This window comes from Homo sapiens, chromosome 5, assembly GCF_000001405.40.
Source record: "Homo sapiens chromosome 5, GRCh38.p14 Primary Assembly".
Lineage (NCBI taxonomy): Eukaryota > Metazoa > Chordata > Mammalia > Primates > Hominidae > Homo > Homo sapiens.
In genome coordinates this window covers 134,231,517-134,241,381 of record NC_000005.10, presented here as the reverse complement: position 1 = coordinate 134,241,381, position 9,865 = coordinate 134,231,517, and the positions used below count along the sequence as shown (strand labels likewise).

The following is a 9,865-nucleotide window of genomic DNA, read 5'->3' as shown; positions in this document are numbered from 1 at the left end:
ATGATGGTGAGGGAGGGGTGGGGTATAGATAAAACAAGACTGCCATATATTGTTAATCGTTGAGGCCAAGCAATAGGTAATGGGTGTTTATTATATTATTATCTCTACTTTTGTGAGTATTGAAAACTTCCCATAAGAAAAACTGAACATGCCTCTATGCATGCCTGGGGGCTTGTAAGACCCAGGATTCTACCCCAATATGGGGGATTTCATGCATGGAAACAGACTAGCAGAGAAAGTCATATTCTTAGGAAAAATGTTTTGGGCACTCCTTAAATCTTTGGTGACTAGAAATCCACTTGAAAACAGAATTCCCTTCCCTGACAGTACCTATTCCAGTGTTAGGTACACAGGGTGGGGAGGAGGGAAATTGATTGGAATTAAGAAACCTGATTAATTCAGAATTAATGCACCAGCTTCCTCTGAAGATTAGGTAGTATTCAATTTTCAGCCTTTCAGAAATATATTCGTCAGCATAAAGACAGGCGAATGGGCTGCATGTTGCTATGCAGACGACACAGTTTGGAAGGGCCTTCTGTTTGCTTATGGATTCGCTCTCCCTTGAAGAAAAACTATTAACTCATGCTGCAGCCTGCTGCTCTCTGCTTGGTGTTGGCTATGTCACCGAGCCCAAAATAGAAAGTTCTTTTACTGCAGAGAGGGAAGGAGGTTTAAATTTATCAATTCAAATAACAAAGGGTAGAATTATACTGGCTTTTCTCGGGTGGGGAGTAGGGGGAGATAATGCCTATTTCATTAGGAGAAAAAGTGATCTGACATTGGCAGGGGCTGGGACCAGAAGACAAGCTTGCACTGTGGTGATTGGGCTTGTTTCCCATCCTGGCCCCCCTCACTCCCTCCTTCCAACAGTGTCACCTCTTTCAGGACATGGGAAAGCATCTGAGCCACTGGGTAATCAGTTCCAGAAATATCACTGAAATTATCAGACTGGGAACGATTCTCTGAACCAAATCCCTTCTCGCTCAGCTTCTGAAACAGTCAGTACCTTACCACAAAGTTAAACAGCAGGGAGATGTTATCTTTCTCCTATGAAATGGTCAAAAATCTTTTAAAGATTCCCAGTGTTGGAAGGAGTTTGGGGCAATGGGCATTCTCCTGCATTGCTGGAGGAGAGGCAAACTGATCTAACCACCTGGAAAGCAACTTGACAACATAGATCCCAAACCATGGAAACATCAATACCAGAGGATATGGATCCAGAGGCTCTCTCATCCATGGCTGGGGGAAGCGTCAATTGATTTTCTAGAGAAATGCTTGCACGGGTACAACAGGAGACATTGACAATAATGTTCATAATAGCAGCGTGCGCAAGAACTAAATCCTAGAAACAATGCAGTTGCCCATCAGTAAGAGAGTAGATTATAAACTGCGGTATATTTATGTATTGGATTATTTTACATCAGTCAAAATGAATGAACTACAGTGAAATGCAATGATACAGACGGATTTTAGCAAAATATCAAGTGAAAAATAAAATAAATCCTGAAAGATTACATACAACATAATATCCTTTTTTATGAAACTCAGAACAATTTAAAAACTATTCTTTAGGAATATGTACAGATATTGGCCAGGCGTGGTGGCTCACGCCTGTAATCTCAGCACTTTGGGAGGCCGAGGCGGGGTGGATCACTTGAGGTCAGGAGTTCGAGACCAGCCTAGGCAATACGGTGAAACCCTGTCTCTACTAAAAATACAAAAGTTGTCAGGAGCAGTGGCTCATGCCTGTAATCCCAGCACTTTGGGTGGCCGAGGTGGGCGGATGACGAGGTCAGGAGTTCAAGACCAGCCTGGCCAATATGGTGAAATCCCGTCTCTACTGAAAATACAAAAATTAGCCAGATGTGTTGGTGCGCGCCTGTAGTCCCAGCTACTCAGGAGGCTGGGGCGGGAGAATCGCTTGAACTGGGAGGTGGAGTTTGCAGTGAGCTGAGATCATGCCACTGCACTCCAGCCTGGGTGACAGAGCGAGACTCCGTCTCAAAAAAATAAATAAATAAAAATAAAAATACAAGTTAGCCAGGTGTGGTGGGACACAGCTATAATCCCGGCTACTGGGAAGGCTGAGGCAGGAACCCAGGAGGCAGAGGTTGCAGTGAGCCGAGATCATGCCATTGCACTCCAGCCTGGACAATAAAGTGAGACTTTGTCTCAAAAAAAAAAGGAATATATACAGGTATAATAAAACTATATAAAAAGGAAAGCAAGGAAATGAGCACAGGATTCAGGATGATTGTCTGGGGTGGGGAGCAAGGAGATGGGGCAGTGGGGGCAGGAGGAACTATGGTTAGATATTAGTTTTGTCAAGGTCCTAGCTTTTGTTTGGGGTTATAAATTCACAGGTACTGATTACGTTATTAATGAATTTACCACCTAAATTAACAAAACCAGGCCATCCATATGCCAGTTATGAGAGTGAACCATGAACCAAGCATTCTGGTTAATCTAATTCTGTATACCTGACATTAAAAAAACAAAAACAGGGTATAGCATTTTGTGTAGTCAGTCAATTCACTTCTAAGCATTTATCTTAAGGAAATAAGCAGAGATGCATACAAAAATTTATGAACAAGAACATTTACCACAGTATTTATAAATATAAATATAGGAAATAATCTAAATAATCTAATACCAAACTAATAGATTAGTTATATAAATTGGGTTATATCAATGTGCTAGAAAACTAGGTACTCTCTAAAAATATTATTTTCTAATAGTATCTAAGTATATGAGAAAATGCTCATAATATGTCAGTTGAATAACACAGTACACAATATGAACCCAGTTTTTAATTTTCCCTAAGTATATATATGCACCAAAAAAGCTGGGAAGGAAGGGCTGGGCACAGTGGCTCACATCTGTAATCCTAGCATTTTGGGAGGCTGAGGTGGAGGATCACTTGAGCCCAGGAGTTTGAGACCAGCCTGGATAACATAGTGAGACCTCATCTCTACAAAAAATACAAAAATTAGCCAGGTGCAGCGGCAAGCGCCTGTGGTCCCAGCTACTCAGGAGGCAGAGGTGGGAAGATCACTTGAGCCCAGGAGGTCAAGGCTACAGTGAGCTGTGAACATGCCATTGCACTCCAGCCTGGGTGACAGAGCAAGACGATGTCTCAAAACAAACAAACAAACAAAAAACAAAAACAAAAAGACAGCCAGGAGCGGTAGCTCACACCTGTAATCCCAGCACTTTGGGAGGCTGAGGGGGGTGGATCACTAGAGGTCAGGAGTTTGACACCAGCCTGGCCAACATGATGAAGCCCCATTTCTACCAAAAATAAAAAAATTAGCCAGGCATGGTGGCCTGTGCCTGTAATCTCAGCTACTTGGGAGCCTGAGGCAGGAGAATCACTTGAAACCCAGAGGCAGAGGCTGCAGCGAGCTGAGATAGCGCCACTGCACTCCAGCCTGGGCGACAGAGCAAGACTCCATCTCAAAAAAAAAAGAGAAAAAAAAAAAAAGCAAGAAAAAATTAAGCTGGGAATACTGTACATCAAAATGATAATAGCACTTATCTCTGGATGTTATGATTGTTTCTTCCTTAAACTTGCAGTAGTTCACAAATTTGCTATAGTGAAGATTAATTTTTTTTTCTTGTTGAAGGTTTTTTGTTGTTGTTGTTTTCATATTTTTTTTAGTAGAGACGGGGTTTCACCATGTTGGCCAGGCTGGTCTCGAACTCCTGACCTCAAGTGATCCGCCAACCTAGGCCTCCCAAAGTGCTGGGATTACAGGCATGAGCCACCACGTCCAGCCGTGAAGGTTTTTTTAATAACCAAAAATAATCATATTATAAAAATAGATGTTAGTAATAACTAATGTAGATAGAGTACTTATATGCTAAGAATTTTACAGAAATTAATTTAAAGCTTAAAATAATCCTATGAGGATAGTACTATTATGATCCCCATGTTACAGATGAAGATACTAAGATTTAAGGGGATAAACAGCTTGCATGAGGACACGGATGATAAGAAATGGTGCAGAAATGGTACCCTCTAGAATCGGGCTTCTAGAGGGTTCTTCAAAGGGTACCCAATGGTAGAGTCTTGGTCTCCCAAACCCAGAAATGGCTACACTCAGATGATTTCTCCTAGAACAGTACTGGGAACTGAATGGCCTGATGAGGAACCTGAAATTCACACAGAGAAAGAGGCCCCCTTGGGGTGTCTGAGCCAGAGCCGACACAAGGCAGCTAACCAGCGAATATAGAGAGGACAGACATGGAGGAGCCCCAGTGCCCAAGCCCCTGAGGGTTTCTTTTTTTTTCTTTCCTTTTTTTTTGAGACAGAGTCTTGCTCTGTTGCCCAGGCTGGAGTGCAGTGGCGCCATCTCTGCTCACTGCAACCTCCACCTGCTGGACTCAAGCAATCCTCACACCTCAACCTCCCAAGTAGCTGGGACAACAGTTGCCCACCACCACGCCTGCCTAAATTTTGGATTTTTAGTAGAGACGGGGTTTTGCCATGTTGCTCAGGCTTGTCTCAAACTCCTGAGCTTGAGCGATCTGCTCACCTTGGCCTCCCAAAGTGCTGAGGTTACAGGCATGAGCCACTGCGCCTGGCCCCTCCACAAGGTTTTCTTTTCTTTTTTTAAATGTTTATTTCTTGCCCCCCTGAGGATTTCTGATGAGCTCTTGAGAGAATAGGAGATCCCAGTGACTGGAGAGTCAACTGGAGGGCAGAGATGTTTTACTCATGGCTCTGACCAGCTCGGGCTCCCACCAGACAATGCAGGACTGGCTTCTAGAGCCTTCGATGCAGAGGAGGAGAGAGCTCTATGGATGGGACAGAGCCAAGGTCTCAGCTTTGGTCTCTTCTCATCACTCATGCTTTAAATATAAGCTCTAATGTCATCAAGGCACCAGAGATAAAATGCCTTTCTCAAGCTAAGCAGACAGGCTCTGGTATCCAATTTGGACAAGATAGTGGAAAACAGACTCAGGGGGAAAAAATCTCTTGGCCTCAGCACCAGCACATGGGAGTTGAATCTGACACCTTAACATTGTACAATAAACAAATGTAGGCATGGTTTCCTATGTTTTCTTCAAAACATCTAGAATAGATCTGATTGGAGGGAATGATTTTAACAATTAATTCTTCTCTCCTCAGCTGAAAAATTCTGGATTATCCTCCAAGATGTAACTAAACCATCAGCTTCTGTGGAAATACTTCCCAGCTTCCCCAAGCAACAGGGCCATCCCTCTTCTGTGCATGTTTAATAAATAATTTGTTTGCCTGTTGGACTGTGTGTCTCCCCTGAGCATAAGCTCGGTAGACAGTGTAGTATGCAACTTCGGGCTTGCCCTCCTTTCTCAGCACCCCTCTCTACCACCTCTCCTTCATATGCATTCCTATGCCTGCTGTGGGGTAATTGCTAATTAAATGTTGATTGCTGAAATAGAGAGCTATGGAGGTTCAGGAATGGTCTTCTAGATTTCCCAGAGCTGGGACTCAAACCCCTTTTTGGATCTCTGATGCTTGAGAGAATCTGATGAAAGCTAAGAAACTTTCCCCAGAAAAAAAAAAAGCACATGCAAAAGAAAATTCCCAATTGCATAGCACTAAATACCCATACTAACACACACACAATTATGTGCATGTAAAACTGGGGAAATCTGAATAAGATAGGTGAATTGAATCAATATCAATTTCCAAGTTGTGATATGGTACTATAATACTGCAAGATGTTACCACTGAGAAACTGGGATCTCTCTGTATTATTTCTTATAGATGCATGTGAATCTAAAATTATCTCAATAAGGCCAGGTGTGGTGGCTCACGCCTGTAATATCAGTACTTTGGGAGGCCGAGGTGGGCAGATCACCTGAGGTCAGGAGTTCGAGACAAGCCTGGACAAGATGGTGAAACCCTGTCTCTACTAAAAATACAAAAATTAGCCAGGCATGGTGGTATGCACCTGTAATCCCAGCTACTCAGGAGGCTGAGGTGGAGGAATTGCTTGAACCCAGGAGGCAGAGGTTGCAGTGAGCCAAGATTGTGCAACTGCACTCCACCCTGGGTGACAAGAGCAAAACTCTGTCTTAAATAAATAAATAAATAAAAATAATCTTGGCCAGGCCCGGTGGCTCATGCCTATAATCCCAGCACTTTGGGAGGCCAAGGCAGGTGGATCACCTGAGGTCAGGAGTTCAAGACCAGCCTGGCCAACATGGTGAAACCCTGTCTCTACTAAAAATTAAAAAATTAGCAGGGTGTGGTGGTGGGTGCCTGTAATCCAGGCTACTTGGGAGGCTGAGGTGGGAGAATCGCTTCAACCCGTGAGTTTGCATCGTGAGTTTGCAACCCGGAGTTTGCAGTGAGCCAAGATCACACCAATGCATTCCAGCCTGGGCAACAAGAGCGAGACTCTGTCTCAAAAATAAATAAATAAATAAACAAATAAATAATCTCAATAAGAATTTCCATTAAAAAACACAAAATTTCCATACATTATTTTTTCAGAGTTGATGGACCCCCCTGCTGAACCTACCCATGAATCCTAAATTGAGAACTCTCTAATATAGACCAATTTTTGCGTTGTTGGATGGGGAAACTGATGGGAGAGGATGTGTTCAAAGTCATTCAGATTGATGGTGAATAAGGAGATTGAACCCAGCTCTCCTTATTCTACAACTGGTTGCTAAAAGGAAGAGAGTGCTGTCCACATTGTGTTGTTTACTTGATTTAAAAAGGCAAGACAAACCAGTGTAACAGGGCAACTGATATTCCCTGATGTGCACAGAGAACACTGAGTCTAGACAGGGCAATTTGGGTTTTTTTGGTTTTTTGTTTTTGTTTTGGAGACGAAGTCTCACTCTGTTGTTCAAGCTGGAGTGGAGTGGCACGATCTCGGCCCACTGCAACCTCCACCTCCAAGGTTCAAGCGATTCTCCTGCCTCCACCTCCCAAGTAGCTGGGACTACAGGCATGCACCACCATGCCCAGCTAATTTTTTTGTATTTTTAGTAGAGATGGGGGTTTCACTATGTTGGCCAAGCTGGTCTTGAACTCCTGACCTCGTGATCTACCTGCCTCAGCCTCCCAAAGTGCTGGGATTACAGACATGAGCCACTGCGCCGGCCGGCAATTTGTTTTTAGGATTTTTTTTCATTTCTTCCTAAGCTGTCTGTGCTCAGCCTGTGGTGGACTGTGGATGATCTCATTCACAAAAAGGTGGCTTAGAAAGGTGTAGGTCAGGGACCAGCAGCCCTTTTGATTCTGAGTACCAAAAGAGGAACCAAATAGTGCCTATGAGTTATCCCAGAAAGCTGGACATGTTGGGGAATAGGAGGGAAAGAAGGAGAGGAAAAAGAAAGGGGGTACACCAGAAGAGGGCAAATGAGGATGGTATGGGGAGAAGAGAGTGGAAGAGAGAATGAGTGTATTTAGGGAGTAGAAGGCTTATGTGGTGGGGCTGGCCCACAGGCTGCTCACCAAGTCAGAACCTGTAAGGACATGAGTTACATGACCAGGTGGGGTCACACGCTTGTAATCTCAGCACACTGGGAGGCCGAGGTGGGCGGATCACTTGAGGTCAGGAGTTCGAGACCAGCCTGGCCAAGATGGTGAAACCCTGTCTCTACTAAAAATGCAAAAATTAGCCAGGCATGGTGGTGCATTCCTGTAATCCCAGCTACTCAGGAGGCTGAGGCACGAGAATCGCTTGAACCCAGAAGGCAGAGGTTGCAGTGAGCTGAGATCACACCACTGCACTCCAGCCTGGGCAACAAGAGCGAGACTCTGTCTAAAAAAAAAAAAGGAAGAATACATGGAAAACACTTAGAAGAGTTTTAACATGTAGTACGTGCTTAATAAATGCTGGCCCTTATTACTGTTACTCCTTGACAGAGGCTCATTTTCTCTTGCCTGTTCCTGCAAAGATGGAGACAACTGATTAGCCATCCTTCCTCTAAGAACCAACCATCAACTTGTAGACACGAAATCACCCATCAGTTTCTCTTTTTCACATATACTATCTGTTCCTTCTTTTGCCTGGGGACTCAACTCCATTACCATCTTCCAGAATCACAATTTAAACATGAGCATAGAAGTACTTAGTAATGGAGGGGTCTTCCTGTTTGGTGTTCCCTCTATTGGCCAGAGAACAAACACTCCTATGAGAGGAGAGTTTCTTTTTCTTCCATCAGACAGGAGAGCAGTATGGACCTATGTTTCTATCTTTGCAAATGAATTTCATAGCACTGTTTAGATACCTCTGTGCTTGGAAATTCGCCTGCTTTGGTGAATCTAATTTTTAAATTTTGTCAGGTATCAAGGTAGAACACTGGTAAACTGCTTAATCTGGAAAATAAAGAATAAAATATAAACAGATTTCCCCTCTGGCTCCCTGCAAAACATCTCTCTCCTCCACAGTGTTTCTGTAAGTCTCTAGGGAACATCTTGTATGGGCTCACCAACAAGTCCTCCTCTAAGAGTCTCCTGCTAATCTACTAAGTACTCTTGATCAAGAGAGACGTAGAATCACCAGAGAAGACTTTTCAGAGTCTTCTCTGAAAAGTGCGACCTCAACTGACCTTAAATGGCAGGTAAGGTTAATATAGATACCAGTGGGGAATCCAGGGATTCAGGGCAGGATGAGCAAAGGGTGAAAGAAGCAATGGAGTTGGATGAGTACAGAATTGGTTTGGGGAGGTGGCCAGCTAAGCTGAGGAGGAGAGCTTATAGTGAGAGAGAAGGCAGGAGAAAAGGCCATGTGAGAGGGCATAGGAGAGCTCAGACTTCTTTCCATAAGAAAGTGAGGGCCCTTGAGTAACATTGCAGGGTATAGTGGAATGCTTGGCAGAACTACTGGCTATATTGGCTACATGTTCTTTGGTTCTTAGGGCCTGTGATTCTCCCAAGAGATGCTTTGTCATGTTTATTCACATATCCAACATTTTCTTTTTCTCTTTTTTTTTTTTTTTTTTTTGAGCCGGAGTCTCGCTCTGTCACCCAGGCTGGAGTGCAGTGGTGCAATCTCCGCTCACTGCAACCTCTGCCTCCTGGATCCAAGCAATTCTCCTGCCTCAGCCTCCTGAGTAGTTGGGATTACAGGCATGCGCCACCACGCCCAACTAATTTTTGTATTTTTAGTACAGACGAGGTTTCACCATGTTGGTCAGGCTGGTCTTGAACTCCTGACCTCGTGATCCGCCTGCCTTAGCCTCCCAAAGTGCTGGGATTTTTATTTATTTATTTTTGAGTTGGAGTCTCACTCTGTCACCTAGGCTGGAGTACAATGGCGCGATCTTGGCTCACTGCAACCTCTGCATCCCGGGTTCAAGTGATTTTCCTGCCTCAGCCTCCTGAGTAGCTGGGATTACAGGCGCTTGCCACCGTGTCCAGCTAATTTTTGTATTTTCAGTTGAGATGGGGTTTCACCATATCAGCCAGGCTGGTCTCGAACTCCTGACCTCGTGATCTGCCCACCTCGGCCTCCCAAAGTGCTGGGATTACAGGTGTGAACCATGATGCCTGTCCCTCCCCCCGGCTTTTTTTTTTTTTTTTTTTGAGATGGAGTCTTGCTGCGTCACCCAGGCTGGAGTGCGGTGGCATGATTTCGGCTCACTGCAACCTCCGCCTCCTGGGTTCAAGCAATTCTCCTGCCTCAGCCTCCTGAGTAGCTGGGGTTACAGGTGCCCACCACCAAGCCCAGCTAATTTTTGTATTTTTAATAGAGATGAGATTTCACCATGTTGGCCAGGCTGATCTCAAACTCCTGACCTCAGGTGATCTGCCTGCCTTGGCCTCCCAAAGTGTTGGGATTGCAAGTGTGAGCCACCGTGCCCAGCCATCTTCTTTCATAATTATAAAAGCATTATGTATTCACTACAGAAAAAT

The 9,865-nt window shown here is 44.3% G+C and overlaps 1 annotated feature.

Annotated features, from left to right (window-relative positions):
• Window positions 624-673: an enhancer, noted in NCBI's record as "active region_23141". NCBI's record gives its function as "activates an Ori minimal core promoter by ATAC-STARR-seq in GM12878 lymphoblastoid cells {active_cell/tissue: GM12878}" and the evidence as "EXISTENCE:reporter gene assay evidence [ECO:0000049][PMID:35858748]".